General features: G+C 39.7%; 1 protein-coding gene across 21 annotated transcripts in view, besides 1 other annotated feature; it reads right to left on the bottom strand.

The window, feature by feature from the left end:
• The window catches only part of NRG1 (neuregulin 1), a 1,134,802-nt gene continuing 1,118,972 nt past the window's right edge, over window positions 431-16,260 (bottom strand). For 13 of the 21 annotated variants that reach the window (NM_001159999.3, NM_001159995.3, NM_001322201.2 and 10 more), the window contains 3 exons: window positions 15,041-15,171; window positions 14,071-14,277; window positions 431-10,729 (listed from right to left, as the gene is read on the bottom strand). In NM_001159999.3, the coding sequence (NP_001153471.1) occupies window positions 10,075-10,729; window positions 14,071-14,277; window positions 15,041-15,171 (993 nt within the window). In that variant the 3' untranslated portion in view covers window positions 431-10,074. Of the gene's footprint in view, window positions 10,730-11,117; window positions 11,260-12,455; window positions 14,278-15,040; window positions 15,172-16,260 lie in introns of those variants that run through there. The other 8 variants (NM_013960.5, NM_001160004.3, NM_001322206.2 and 5 more) reach the window with 3 other exon arrangements.
• Window positions 13,617-14,816: an enhancer, noted in NCBI's record as "BRD4-independent group 4 enhancer chr8:32617179-32618378 (GRCh37/hg19 assembly coordinates)". NCBI's record gives its function as "activates an origin of replication core promoter dependent on BRD2, P300/CBP, MED14 and CDK7 cofactors, and independent of BRD4, by STARR-seq in HCT116 cells {active_cell/tissue: HCT116}" and the evidence as "EXISTENCE:reporter gene assay evidence [ECO:0000049][PMID:35650434]".

The following is a 16,260-nucleotide window of genomic DNA, read 5'->3' as shown; positions in this document are numbered from 1 at the left end:
AGGAGGACGAATGGAGAAGGGAGTTCCAGTAAAACAGAACAAGGGCAGGGATATGTAGCAAGCACAATATTGTGCTTCCTGAGATATGTGGATGACTGAATGTTGTATGCAGGATGATTCTAGGATCAAGCATTAAATAACATTGAACAAAACCATAGAAGTAACTGCTCTATCAACTCCCTCTCAATCCTGGCTAACTCAGGGAATAAATCTTTCTGTGCTTCCCCAAAATATTTTCTATCTCTCTAACACTTTCTGAACTCCCTTTGTGTCAAACAGAGAACAGGCTTATTGCTCAGACCTTTGAGCAGGCAACAGTATCTGGTTAGAACTTAATAACTTTGTTTCATTTTTATTATATTTATTTTTACAGTTTCATTTTTATTATGGCAACTGATAGCAGTTTTCCATTCGCAGCATTGATACCAAGTTTTAGTTGAAATTACTTTATTGTAGTTAAAAATGTAGTCAATTAAAAATAAACACTATGCAAAAAATAATACAGGTGGTACATGAATATGTCAATAATCATAAAGTTCGTAGGCCAATGACTAGGGTTTCATAAACACTGGTGTGGTGTATTGGGGAACTAGAAAACCATAAAATCAGACTGAAGAATGAAGGCTGGAGACAAGTTATGAGTGACAGAAGCCAGATTGTGAAGGGCCTCCTATGTCAGGTGGGGAGCCATGGAGGGGCCGTAACCAGGAGATTGACACAATAAGTTCTGCAAGTTAGACACAGTCTTCTAGCATGATGTGAAGGATGGCCCAGGGGAGTGAAAGGAAGTAGATGAGTCAGGAGACAAATGGATCCTAGTGACAGATGCTGATAAGAGCATAAACAAGAGCCGAAGCAGTGAGGCTGTGAAGGAGGGTGTGGACTTGTGTGACCTGTCAGTGGTACAATCACCATTGTCACCAATTAGATGTGGAGGGAGAAATCTAGACTATTGCTCAGGTCTGGCTTGATCAGTGGGTGAAATGTGGCTCCACTAACCAGATGAGGAGATGTTTCCCCTTACTTGCTCCTTTGCTTGGTAACTGACATGATTTTGACCCCGAGTGGAACCCTTCATCTCACTGACTCTGCATTAATAGCTCAATAGGAAGGATTCAAGTTCCTTCCCTTCACAGTCCTGGCTAGAGATCTAACACCTCAGGCAAACAGAGCAGAATCCAAAATGTGTGGTGGATTAGCATATTTTCATGTTGTGAAAGAAAAGTTTTTGGTCAAGCAAATCATGGAAAAGATGAAACACCATGGGACTCTGCCCTAGAACTTTCTAAAGGGCCACCACTAATCAAAGAGGACTTTCTAGTTCAATACAATTTCTCTAAATTCTTTCTAACTCCAATAATTTCTGACTGAATTTCTGTTCACAGTCTGAAATTGTGTGGTCTTCCGACTTCAGAACTTTTGAAATCAGAGGTATCAGTGAAGGGAAGAGCTGGGAAGATAAGGGTTATAAACTAAGGAGGTACTAAAGGAGGCCTTTGTTTTGCAAAAAAATAAAAAATAAAAAGTAAAGGGAGAATGGAATCTTTGTGGGGGAGACTCTTGAGTGAGGGCAGAATCATCTCGTTGTTGGAAGGTACCTGGTTACAGGGGGTTGGGTAGTTTGGAGTAGGTGGCTGTCATGCACAGCATTTTCTCTCTTTCTTATTCTTAATGGTGAAGAGAACCTGGGATCCAAGATAAAATTGTCTGTGTTATCTGAGGAGCCACAAAAGTACAAATCAAGGAAGCCCCTTCCTCTGAAGAAGATGAAAAGTTCACTTTAGGCTCAACTGGGAGAAACTAGAAGTCCTCTGCTGTTGAAGCAACTCACTTCAAGACAAGGGCTCCTCCAGTAAGGCAAAAAAGAATCATCATCTAGGGACCAGAAGACAAGTATTAGCTTAACTCATGATAATAATTAGAAAGGTGCAAAGTTTACATCTATAATATTATTTCTTTAATATAAAAATAATAAAATGTCCTCATGAATTATATTTATGATGAGCTAGAGTTATGATTGTTTTCAATAAAAAGTTTTTCATTTAAATGAAGGATAAGGAACAGAAAGTTTTATTAGACTCTCCTGCCATTAACAAAGCCTATATTACAAGCCTGATGATTGATATCAGAGTTTAAGTCACTTCCACCTTGGATGTAGTATGGAGTTTGAAGGGATTGAATCCAAATAGGCTAAATCCGTAAATTATTAATTGCTTCATACCCAGGATGAGAAAAAAAAATTCTGTTTTATGCATGGAGTAAAGAGTGAAGAGGACGTGAGGAATTATTGGATGGATCATGGGAGCTATGTGGTTTCTCACATTTAGAATTTAATCTGAAACCAGAGCCGTCTAATTTGGTCACTCTGCAGACTTTTGGTGGGATTTTATATATATATATATATATATATATATATATATATATATATATATATACATATTTTTTTTTTTTTTGAGACGGAGTTTCACTCTTGTCACCAAGGCTGGAGTGCAATGGCGTGATCTCAACTCACTGCAACCTCTGCCTCCCAGGTTCAAGTGATTCTCCTGCCTCAGCCTCCCGAGTAGCTGGGATTACAGGCATGTGCCACCACGCCCGGCTAATTTTTGTAATTTTAATAGAGACGAGGTTTCACCATGTTGGTCAGGCCAGTCTCAAACTCCTGACCTCAGGTGATTTGCCTGCCTAAGCCTCCCAAAGTGCTGGGATTACAGTCATGAGCCACCGTGCCAGGCCTATATATATATATATATATATATATTTTTTTTTTAAAGAAATGGAATATGTCTGAACATCCTGTGTAGAAACTAAGACAAACAGATATACTGTCGATCTAAGATCATTTTTGTTCATTCTTCTAGATGTTTGCAATGATGTTTGGAGGTAGTATTATTAAAACTCTACAGAGTCATGGTTTAGTAAATTTCTGTAAAATTATATTAATAATAAAACACTAATGTAATAAGCTGCTAAAAATCAGAGTTAACATGAAATGGTATGGCTGCATAAGAAGCAAGCTGAACTTATACTGCATCAAAAAAACAAACATAAAGTTATGGGTGGTGGCTCATGCCTGTAATTCCAGCACTTTGGGAGGCCGAGGCAGGAGGATCACTTAAGGCCAGGAATTGAAGACCAGCCTGGGCAACATAGCGAGACCTTGTCCCTACCAAAAAAAAAAAAAAAAAAAAAAAAAAAAATCGCTGGGCATGGTGGAGCACACCTGTAGTCCCAGCTACTTGAGAGGCTGAGGTGGGAGGATCACTTGAGCTCAGGAGTTACAGGTTGCAGTGAGCTAAAATTGAACCATTGCACTCCAGTCTGGGTGACAGATCAAGACCCTGTCTCAGAAAACAAAACCAAAACCAAAACCTAAAGAACTTATCAAAGCTACAAAGTTAAATATTATTTGGTGATATGTTTCTCAACATACTGTTGTTATTAAAAAGGATTTGCTTACTGGCACTATGTTGGAGAAATGATAACATAAAGTTTATTTGATCCATTGTGCAATGGGGATATGCAAATGTCAATCCATTTGGAACTGAGAAACCTAGATTCCAAAACTTAAGGAACTGGAGGGGAAGGATCAAATAGAAGGTGGCATTTGAATACTCGCTATGTGTTAGACACTTTCAGGCTTCCTTACATGTATTCAAGTTTAATCCTGACCACACCACGGTCTTGTAAATCAGGAAGGAAACTTGGAGGAGGAAGCTGCCCACAGTCAGTAAGTTTCTAAGTGGTGGGGAGAGTGCTTTGACCACAAATTTCCTCCTCTTTTCACTTTAGGATGCTACCTACATGTCGAAATTGTGAATTCATTCTCACTCGTACACTTCATTTCCTTAGAAAGCTAAGTTTAGGAAAGGTGCATAGAATCACTAAGCCAAGGAAATTGGCTTCTAGAATCACTCTAAACCAAAGCTAGAAGGGCTCACATTCTTCTAAAAAGAAACTTAGCTGTAGATGTAACATAACATACTGTATACATAAAGGTTGAAAATAAAAAACCTGTTTCTGCTTGAGGCAGGGAAAGGGGAAGAACGCAATAGAAAGAAACTGGATTTGCAGTCAGAAAACCTGGGTACAAGTGTCAGCTCTGCAGCTCTCTTAGATGTGTAACTCCAAGAAAGATTTTAACCTTCCTGAGCCTAAATTTTCCTCATCACTTACCATATCATGTAGAGAGAACAAAAAGGAGATAAAGGATGTTTTAAGCCATAAAAATATTATAAAATGTGATTTTTATTTAATAGTTCATTTCTCTCTGTATTAGCAAATCTATACATAAGCCATTAAAGATGTTTAAATCTACAGAGGTAATTCTTTAGCCTTTTTGGCATCCTGTGGGGTGGGCAGAGATGTCCTTTCTTCTTTCCAATTCTGTTCCAATAAGTTCATTTGAAGGGAAAGGGTTAGAAAGAGATCCTGGGTGAAACTATTATCCCATTCTCTGTCTCTTCTTTAAAAATTACTGGTTTCCTTCTCCTGGTCTGTTTTTAAAAAGCTCAGGTAGATCACAATAGATTTCCTCCAGGTAACAAAACTCTTTTCCTATTTCCCTGATGAATAAAGTTTTGAAGCATGTTAAAGTTCAAAATCAATAGCTACCCAGAGAAGACGAACAGTTATAGTACCAGGAGGTCAACAGGAGCCTAAAGATACCTGCAGGGGAGGGCATGACCACCCTATTCAACACCAACCTTAAAGGTTAGGAACATTGCAGCTTCCTGTAGCAACAAGACAGTTTTGTCTTTCATAAACTGAAAGTATTGGTATTTCCTGCCAAGTTAATCTTTTGGAGTAATAGTTCCCTTACATTTATTTTAGTAAATCAGTTTCAAAGAGGACAAGCCAAACATAGAGTGCAAAGTGATTCATATAAAGTCATCGAAACTTTCCACTCCTTCCAGCATCTTGAGTCTCCAGATTTCAGACCTGCCTTATAACCCCAAATTGTGAACATCAAGTCCTTTTATCATTCATCGTTAGGACAGAAAAGAAATCTAATGATTGGGAAGACTCAGGTTAGAAAGACTCAGGTTTGCTTGTTTCCAGAGGCAGCCTGGGTTTAAAAATCAAGAGAGAACATGGTTTCAACCAAGAAGGGAGAATTATAGTAATTATCCAGACATTCAATCTGGCTGCGAGTCTTCACTCTTTCCAAACCACCTCACCTCCTTCACACACGTGCTTCTGCCTCAAATACTATATCCCAGGCAAACAATTTTAACCAAAATTACTACAATAGCTGCTTATAGTGTTCAATTTCGTTACAAAGCCTCAGCAAAAACTGAGAATAATGTCTCAATCTTTAAGTTTTAAATATTCTCTGCATGGCTGGTTGGCTAAATGACTATAGAGCAAGTGAAAGAGTGTGGTGGCTTTTGGAGAGTGTCTGTTTGGAATTTTTGTCTCTCTGTGTTTGTATGTGCATGAAAACTAAAGTTGTTGCAAATGTGAAGATTTCAAGCATTTTTGAAAATTTATTAATATAAATAGGAAAAACTAGCTCAGTCAAAAGCTACAATTTAAATTTCCTGGACATCCAGAGTGTTTGGAAATGATCCTAGAGGAGCCATAACTAGGTAATAGGAATTAGGTACACAGATGGAGGTGGACATTGGTGGGAAGTCTCAGGTTACCCCCAAACTCCAAAGGAGGCCACTGTTCACCCCAAAGGATTGCTGACCTTTACTTCATACACTTCAGAAGCTCTTAACCTACCTGGAATAATGAGTGAAATGCTTGGAATATATGAAGGGTACCATGCAAATATCTATTTGTTAAAATATGGCTTTTGTTTAGGTTAATTGCAGTAAGAAAAGTAATACCCTCATTTCTATGACTCAGTCTTAGAATATGAGAATTTTCTCATGCAAAGGCTCCTCCCTGAGCAGTTAGATAGACATGAGTTTGATTTGTTTTATTGACAGAATAAGGGGAATGAACCTAACTTGGCCTTCTCCTCTTTTAAAATTATGAATCCGTAAATTGTGGGCCCAATGGAAAGTCATTAGCGGATGGTATAAGGAAGCTTAGCATGGCCAGGTGTCAACTGGCTGCCTTTTAGGCCACTATGGGCCATTGGACTATTTGAACCATGAGAGCATTTTTCGTTACCTTTCGTGATTGAATGGCACGTTGACATTTTCATTAGTCTGAAGGAGTTTCTTACTGCCACTACAAAAGATAGCAACAGCCAGGATCCAGGCAGTCATGCCCTAGAATATTCTCTCTCTGTTATTGTGTATGGAGGAAAAAGGAAGCATAGTACTGTCTGGTTGTGTGGCCTCTTCAACAAGGAAGAAAGTGATAAACAGCATTGGTAGGGAGGAGATGATTTGAGAACAGGTGGTGTGGCAAAAGCAATGGACAGACAAGAAGCAACGTATAGACAAGGTGATCATGGGGTCCATGGAACACAATCCTAAATTAGCATAACTATGGGAATGAGATGAAAGGTGCTGGTCTAACAGACTGAAGCTGTAGTCTGCTGAGCAACACTCCCAGGTCTCCACAGAGTAGCATTTTTATTGCAGTATGTCTTTCATGGAAAATGGACAAAACTTTAAATAAATCACAATTACTTATTGCTTAGTATTTTGAATAATAAATTCTTTAGTTTATCAGTACCTCACGGCCTTCAATGTGCATTCTTCAGATAGTTTCAGTTACATATACATTCTTTCTCCTGAACAATAAATTATTCTTAAAAAAAAGAAAAGGAAAAGATACATAATTTTAAAGCAAAGAAAAACAAAAGAACATATATTTTTGACATTTATCTTAAACTTATATGAAAACAACTCTATATGTTAGATGCTTAAATATAAATAATAAAGGACATTATGTTATTTACAATGTTACATAGTAAGTTGAGAGAGTAAAAACTGACATTAACTCAAAAAGACAGTAAATGATATAAGAAAACATCCAAGTAATATACAATATGTATTTACAAAAGAATATATAATAGAACTTGTGATATGTGGCCATTTCCTTCTGCCTACATTTCTCTTCAGTGTTTCATAGGTCTTCGCAGATAGAAATCTCTGGCTGGTGGAATGCAGCCAGTATTATTAATACAAGATAAGACCAGGCCTTCCTTATTTTCACCAGTGTGAGCCATGCGCCCTTTAACCCCAGGCCATAAAAAGGAATAGTTAGTGAGCAAGTTACCCTGGATAAACTTCACCTCTAACAAGACAGTCACACTGAAACAAGAAAGTGATAGCAGGTTTGGGACACATTCACCTACACAGAGGACCATTTTGTAGAAACTAGAATGCTGTCCAGGCACTCTTGGGGGCAAAAGTCACACTAGGCAGGAAGGGAAAGTAAGATAGAAAGTGAATCTTAGGTGAAACAAAAGGAGTTTTGCATGTATTTGCATGTATTATGCTCCACTGCATACACCTCAGTGGGATACGATTTTAGACCCGGGAAACAAAGTTGCTGTCAAACTCCTGGGCAATTTCTACTACCTTAAAACCTAAGATAGCTTTCCATATGCTGGGAACATAAGTTCACACTCCGATCGCCACTGCACTGTCGGAATTTATTAACAGAGGTGGTCAAGAGTGATGTGACAAGCATCACAGAGATACCCCTGTAAACACAAATCTAGTGGCCTTGGCAGGTGATGCTGAGCAGTCAGCTGGCCTTTTTTATGAAGGGTGCAAAGGATGTCCCAACTATAATAATATGCCACCTCTGTGAGTGATCAGAATCAAGTTAGAAATACAATTTCCTCTTGTCTTCAATTTTCATATATATTTGCAATTTTAAAATGCATAGCAATTCTCATTGTAAGAAACATGTTGCTCATGGTTCTCAACAGAAACTTCTATTTATTCTTAAAATTCTTCCACAATGGGATATCTGAGTACCCCAATGCCCAAAGAATTTGAAACAGAATTTTTAGGGTTTTAAATTCATGGTAGGAATTTCTTCATTGAAATAGCTAAGGATGAGTCAAGGCCTTCAAAGGCAATGTTAAAATAATTTAGAGAACTTCATTGGACTGACTGTCTTCTTCCCCATGCCGTGAGCTTACTCATTACTGCAGAATTGGAAAATCAGTGCAACCTGACAAAGACTCCTCAGTGTAGGTTAAAAAGCAAATGAGGATACCACTGTGCACAGAGAAAGTGGCATGTGAACAGTGACGAAAAATTTGAGATACCAAATACTAACAATAACTTCAAGAACCTGCAGACAGGCATCTCTGTGGATTGTAGGAGCATGTGGGAGGGTAACAACATGACTCATGCCCAGCCTGCATTTTTCTGCTAAGACCTACTTGCATGTCATTTCTTCTTTTTAATTGTTAACATCAAGATTTGGTGAAGAAATACATTCAGTTCACCCGCAAAAAAGAAGCAATTACTCTCACTGACTTCATGAATCCCCCGATAACCTGTTTCCCATTTGTCCCATGGTTCCTAGGAGGCCATGTGAATCCTAAGTAAAGCTCCAGCCCTGATTTCACAGATATCAGGCAGGCCATGAAATGGGTTCTGTGTTTCAAATAATTTTTTTTCTTCCATTTTCCTGAATTAGCAGTTATTTCAAATGTTAATACTTATAGGCCTTCCTTTGGATTTACCATCACAAAAGAACATGCAATGCTTAGACCAATCTTAGTCCTACTTTATGACAGTAAAGCAAAAATTAAAGGAGGTGGGGGAAATGGGTGAGAGAGCCTGTAAATGGAGAGGTCAGGACACAGGTGGGGGTCACTTCTGCAAGTAAAGGTGCAATCTTTCCAACAGGATTGACATTTCCTGATGAATCATTACTTGTGATTACAAATCACATACACATCGGCCATTCCTGATAAAAAATGTTCATGCATAGTTATGACCTGATCAAGGCAACATGGAAAGATAAAAGAAAAATAAGGGGGAGAAAGGGGTGGTCATCCACATTTTAAAATTTCAACGGAGTCACTAAGCTTCTCTCCACCTATACAGTCACTCCTTCTGAACACTCTACGATGGAAATACTTCCCTATGATGACAAGTCATCGCTATGTACAGCAGGCACGTTTGACTCTAGAAGTATTTCAGACAAAATGCTGCATGTGCTGTCTGGGCTGGGCTTTTTGTGCCGTAATATGCTTCTTTTTGAGCCAAGAAGACACAACCAATCACTAGCTTCAAAATCAGTGAAAAATACATGTCAGAAATGATTGCACCTTTATCAGCCGTGTTTTGATTGTCAACTAGATAAGCTGCTGGATCATTCCCCCAGAGAGAAAGTGACACTCAGTCCTCTTGTAAGGTGTTAGATTTACCCTGATAGCAAGCCAGAACCCATTTTCTAAGCTATCCCTAAAACTGTTGCTTTTTGTCAAGAAAAATAAAATCAAATAAAGTAAATGAGAGCTCCTTTTAGTAAGAGCAAGCTGTCTTCTGATTAATAATATAGTTTTTTTTAAATCACAGTATTACTTTCTTCCTAATATTTAACATTACTTAATGCAGTTTCTTGCTGTATTTAATAGTAGCATGCTGTTGGATCTACTATTATCTCAGAGCCCAATGAGGCAAACCTTTGGCTGGCAGAGTAGACACAACTCATTTCATATTCTGAAAGCAAAGAAAACTTCATACACAAGAGAGGCATATCTGGATGGATGTGCCATTACAAGACATACTGATCGGGTGCTACTACAAGCAAACAGAGGGACAGTTGCAAGTCTTGCAAATCATACATCCAGTCAACATCATAATGCAATGCACAAGAAGCCAGCAAAAACTGAATCTATGAGAGGTTTTGCAGAAATACTGTGGAAAAGCAATCACTGTAACTGTACAAAACTTGCTCTCGACATAACATAACATAAAGGCACCATTGATATCTTTCTCGTTTTGAAATACTGTAAAAAATTGCTACATATGGCACATAACACATTTTTACATACATATATTTAATTTATAAAAGTTTTTTTCCTGTTTTCTATTTGCAGAACTGCTAAAATAAAATAAATTGTTTAATTTAAGGTGGAATACTTTATTATATAAAATAAAGTTTTACAGGTGAATCTATGTGTTTATTTAGGTTTTATACAGCAATAGGGTCTTGGTTAGCAATTACACTAGACAGCCTGGCCTGGATTTCTTCCTGTGTCGAGAAGCGGCCTGCTGGGTTAGTCCTGCTGTCAGCCAGGCGGAAGGCAGGTGTTGCCTCAAGACTGGCTGCCAGGGGGTTCTGTATGCCCAGGAAAGGCGTATCTTCACCTACTCTTTCATCTTCTGTTTCACTCTCTGAGTTACTGCTCTGGGAGCTTGTGTTGCTGTCCACTTCCAATCTGTTAGCAATGTGGCCATTGGGCTTGGTTCTTTTGGCCCGCCGGCTATTGGCGAGTTTCTTAACAGGCTCTTGGGCTGGCTCGTACTCTTGGGTCGTTTCATACTCCTCATCCTCCACTATCCTCAAGGGGCTAGCAGGGAGGCTGTTACTGTCATGCGCGGGGTTGTGGTGGAAGGAGCTGAACTGCTGAGGGTGATGGTCAAACTTCTTCTCCCGCAGCCTTGGTGGTGTCACGAGAAGTAGAGGTCTCTCTTCTTCCATGAAGGGGCTGACCGCCATGGAAGGCATGGACACCGTCATGCTGGACACGGGTGGAGACATTTCCGAAGGGGGCGATTTGGGGGAGCTTGGCGTGTGGAAATCTACAGGTGACATACGAGCCGGGGTGGTCATGGCTGACACATACCTGTGTGAGCACAGAATACCCTGCATAAGTGTGGTGCAATAAGAGGCACATAGCAGGGAAGGTAAGGGGACAGAGTTCACGGTATTATATCATCAGAGAACAGAGAATTTCTATTCATTGTAGGCTGCTTAATTATTTAGGCTAGGAAATTCCACACCCTTGGAATCGAAAATTAGGTAGCCAAGAGTTTCCTCACAGGAGTGCATGCAAAGATCAGCTAAATTGCCTAGCTCATCAAAGCTTTTGGGATTTTCAATCTCATCACAATTATAAATAATGGCATATGAGCCAAGACAAGAAGGCATTAGGTCCTGGAAACCTCTCAGCTTATATAAGGACCAAGGCTCAGGGATTCGGAAGGGAAAGAAGTATTACTTAAATACTATACCTTCCTAAAGGCCAAGGGGTCTTAGAGAATGAAGCCCAAATGGGGAATGGAAGAAGATCTAAGATGAGTTGCTGATAGCTGGATCTGCATGCATTTGGATCTGTGTGCCTTGTTTCTCCTTAGCTCAGCTATAAGGTTATGTCTTATGAAAAAAAAAGAGCATAGTAACTTAGATTTATTCCTGACAACAGTGTCATACATTTGTGTGCTTTTCATTTTTTCCATGAAATGCAACTAGTTAACATTCAATTTGGAACTATCCATCCCAGTGTCCAACAAACACAGTCAAAGGTAAGCCTGAGAGAACCTAATTTGGCTTCACAGTTACCACAATGGAGGTTATGTCCAATCTTTGGTCTATCTCTCTTCCAAAACCCACAGCTATATCAGTCTTTGGTCAATCTCTTTCATGATGCCTCAAGGGTTGGCTGTACCCTGTTACCTTCTATCATGTTATGTCTGATAATGCTCAGTGACTCTTGCCATTAGGCCACCGAGCACACTGTTTTCACCACACCATGCTTTCTTCCCCCAGTATAAGAAGTCCTGACTTTTGGCACTGAGGAAGACGTGGCTTATTCAGAGTCACATTTCTCAGCTTTTGATAAAAAATGTTACCAACGCACAACACTAAATGACTCTTTTCTTCACACTGGCATTCACAGAGTCTAATTTGACGTGACCTGAAATGACATGGAATGCCATCATCTGAACTCTTGCTAACAGGAACGGAAAACGTATGAACCTCCCTGCTTCTCCCGGAGTCACAGTGATACAGACGTGAGAGCTAGCTGCCTCTAAACTGGGAACGTGCCTGAGAAATTGAAATATGTGGGCCTTGAGCCTTCAAACTTTTGGCTTTGGGGGTACTTAAATTAAGCTCTCTGAGAAATGCTAATTTAAATTCAACCAACATATAAAAGTGATTCATCTTTTCTCTCCATAATCTCTAGGTTCAGGAATATTTCGTAGTCCTAGATATCATCTAGAAGCCCAGCACAGTGGGGAAATGTCAACATTTAAGGATAAATATCACTTGTAGTGATGAAGAATGATTTCATCTCTAACTTCCTTTTCATGTTTCAAAAAACGATTGAAACAGAATGGATAGACTTCCTTAATACATTAAAAAAATATGAATTTAAGACTAAAGTTTTAAAACAGTTTAAACCCTGCCTACTTTTTCATAGATTGGTTGCAGGGAAACCTCTGATTTCATAAATTCCATAACGTTCTAAAATATCATTTTTGGGGAAAGGCCCTTGAAGAAGTAACCAACAGGCTTGCAAGTCCAGAATGTTTTTTTTTTTTTTTTTTTTTTGAGGCGGAGTCTTGCTCTGTTGCCTAGGCTGGAGTACAGTGGCACCATCTCAGCTCACTGCAGCCTCCACCTCCTGGGTTCAAGCAATTCTCCTGCCTCAGCCTCCCTAGTAGCTGGGACTACAGGGCAGCACCACCATACCCAGCTAATTTTTGTATTTTTAGTAGAGATGGGGTTTCACCATGTTGGCCAGGATGGTCTTGATCTCCTGACCTCGTGATCTACCCACCTCAGCCTCCCAAAGTGCTGGGATTAGAGGCGTGAGCCACCGTGCCCAGCCTGTCATTTTTTATTGTAAGTACTCCCCAGTCCATGAGTGGGAAGAGTCTATGAAAGTCATCCCTACCCATGGAACTACCACACAAGTATGAATTTGACATTATGTAAACCTTTTAGTAAATGGTCAAGGATTAGACTAAGATGACAATAAAATAAAATAAAATAAAATAAAATAAAATAAAATAAAATAAAATAAAATTCAGCGGACTTGCAAACAAACAGGTAATAGCTTACCTCTGATTTCATAAATTCCACAAAGTTCTAAAATATCATTTTGAAGGAAAGGCCCTTGCAAAAGTAAGCAACAGGCCTTCAAGCCCAGAATGTGTTATTTTATTGGAAGTAACTTCCCAGTCCAAGAGTGGAAAGACTCTATCAAAGTCATCTCCTCCCATGTAACTACCACATAAGTATGGATTTGACATTATGTAAACCTTTTAGTAAATGGTCAAAGATTAGCCTGAGATGACAATAAAATAAAGTAAAACCCAGCAGACTTGCAAACAAATAGGAACAGGTAACAGCTTACTGATGGGCTAGAAATACTGGTCATCTTCCAGCTCAGGTGAAAATGGAGAAAGAGAATCTATGAATTCAATATTACTATTTAATATCTCTTTGTTTACTTTCCTCCATTCTTCATTTTACCTTTGCTATAACTCCCCCAACCCAACCCAATCTCCCCAAAGGAAAGCCAAAACATTCTGGAATAAAGGGCCATCTTGAAGGCAGTATCTGCTTTGAAAACCACCCGTGAAGACTGCCAGACGCAGCATCCAAGAGATTTATTTATTCATCCCTTCTTGGAATTTCATAAAATAGATACTATAGGGTGGAGGGCAAGCAGTTGCCCCCCATGACATTCAGCAATGACATAGCCCTTGATTTGACTTAACTGAGGCTGGAAGGTAAGACAGGGTTAGCAGATAAGAACACGAGGCCAGCTCGACCACCGAATCAGAGTTTGGATAACTGGCAATTGGAATTATAGAAGGGTCCTTATCAAGCATTGATGCCATCTCTCTAATGTTACAACTGAGGACACTGAGACCCCGAGTGGGTCTGAGCCCATGGCCAGAGCTGGAAACTCCATGTGCTGCACCTTCCGCATCAAAGCATCCCAGCTCTTTAAGAGTCTGTTGCCTGTCAGTCACTGGGACGACGAGAGAAGCTCAGAAGAAATAAGTTCCGTCAAACAAAGAGATGACTTCATCAACTAGGAGCACTCCTAGAACAGGTAACTGCCGCCCCTTATTCTGATTAGAGTAGATTTCCTGAGGTGAGACCGCAGGTGCTCACAGGGATTCTCTGACTGAGTTTCTCCTCTGCAGTAGCTTTGCCCTTCGGTTTTACCTTTCACTATGAGGAGAGTCTCGGTAGGAATCAGGGGTTTCTCTGGCATGCCTGAGGAAGCTGTTACATTCACGAGGGCCTCCTGTGCCATTAAGACGTCCTCTTGGGCCCCCAGTTGGGCTGCTGTGCCTACTGTTTTCTACGGATGACATCACGATTACAGAGTGGCTTTCGGAAAGGATGCTTTCAGTGTGTCCGTTGCTCCAGCTGCGGAGGAAATGGGAGAGACAATCAGATATTTCGTGCAAAAATTATATGCAAAAAAATGGAAATGAAAGGAATGGATTCTGACAAATGTTTCAAACTACTGATGCACCCGGAGCTCACTGTAACATCACTTGTCTCCGAATAGAATCGCCACAAAGGTAATTTGCTATAGAGAGGATCTTGATTCAGATTGGCTTTGTAAGGATACAGTATATTCACTTGTCCACTCATTCAATAAATATTTTCGAATGCCACTCCTCAGTATATAATTATAATCTCTCTGTTCTTGAGTGGCTTAGATTAAAGAAACATTTCCTTGTATGAGCTACATTTGGAGATCTAGTGTTGGTCTTGGTAGAGTAAGTGCACTCAGGTGGGGATCACCAGGGCATTTGAGAATTTAGGGTTCCACTATTTAACCAATTCTCATGTGCATTTCCCAGGGCAATCCAATTACTGAAAGAAATTGACTTCTAAGTATTTTGCAGAGCCAAAGACAGACTTGTCCCAGTGTAGCAATTCGGTGAGTAGCAGGGCATGAGTAAAGACAATCTCAGGAATGGGAAACAACGGCCCTGTGGAGTTACCTAATTGAGGTTCAAATTTATGCAGGAATTAAGGGCAAAGCCAGTTGATTTTCAAAATCTGTTGCTGCCCAAAGACCATCCATTTCACTGCCTCCTTTCTTAGGCAGGGATATCAAAAGGCAATGTGCAACAATTCATTCTGAGAGAAAAGCCGTGGAATTTTTAAATTCTCATACCTGTGGCTAGGAGTCTGGGTGACAGTAGTGGAGTGATGGGCTGTGGAAGTATAGTGACTGGTGGAAAAGGATGTCTCTGCTTCTCTCTCAACAATATGCTCACTGGAGATGACGTTTTTAGATACGTATTGCTGGATAAACAAAGAGACACAACTTGAAGATTCACGTAGATTCATGTCAATCAAAGCACTAATATTGTCATGTAAATAAAAACGTTAACACTGTCAGAAACACACAAATCTATTTTTGTACAGCTGATTTGTAATAAATTCCATTTCCCCAATGGCCAGGTGGAAAATCCTGTCCTGGCTACTGTGGCTTTTAGATTAGATGAATAGAGTTAAAAAAAAAAATACTCTCTGGATGTGCATCCAATGTACGGCCCATCATTCCAACTACATTTTATCAGCAAAAGTCCTATTTCTTCTATTTTATTTTAAATTAATGACTAGAATTCCATACAAATATCCATCCAACATTCATTTGTTTCATGGTATTGCAAGGTGAAGAAGGCTAAATGCTATTTGAAATAGAAGCAGACAGGTGATTTGTATAGTTTCAAATTTCAAAGCACTAGAAAAAAATATTCAGAATCTCTATATGTTGGGCCTACCTTTCTCCTTCCATTTCCTAGTGCCCATGTTGCCCTACTAATGTCACTGAAATGTTTAACTTGTTAGCAGTGGTAGGGCTAACAAGGCTACTGATAAGGGACTTAACAATTGTTGTCAATGCACACATCTTGACAAAGCACATAATATATGGAGGACATTTCTATTTAATGCAGGTAGATTCTACTTTTCTCTCTTCTTTCTTTCTTTTCTTTTCTTCTCCTTTTTTTTTTTTTTTTTTTTTTTTTTTGAGATGGAGTCTCACTCTGTTGCCCAGGCTGGAGAGCAGTGGTGCAATCTCAGCTCACTGCAACCTCCACCTCCCGGTTCAAGCAATTCTCCTGCCTCACCCTCCCGAGTAGTTGGGATTACAGGCATATGCCACCATGCCCAGCTAATTTTTGTATTTTTAGCAGAGATGGGGTTTCACCATGTTGGCCAGGCTGGTCTTAAACTCCTGACCTCAGGTGATCCGTCCACCTCTGCCTCCCAAAGTGCTGGCATTACAGGTGTGAGCCACCATGCCTAGTCAGAGTCTACTTTATTTTTATCAGCAAACCACAGTAGTTTTTACTGTTTCTATTAGGGAGGGAGGCCCCTTTTTGAAGT

Source organism: Homo sapiens, chromosome 8 (assembly GCF_000001405.40).
Source record: "Homo sapiens chromosome 8, GRCh38.p14 Primary Assembly".
Lineage (NCBI taxonomy): Eukaryota > Metazoa > Chordata > Mammalia > Primates > Hominidae > Homo > Homo sapiens.
Note: the sequence above shows the minus strand (reverse complement) of the source record. Positions and strands in the feature narration are given on the sequence as shown.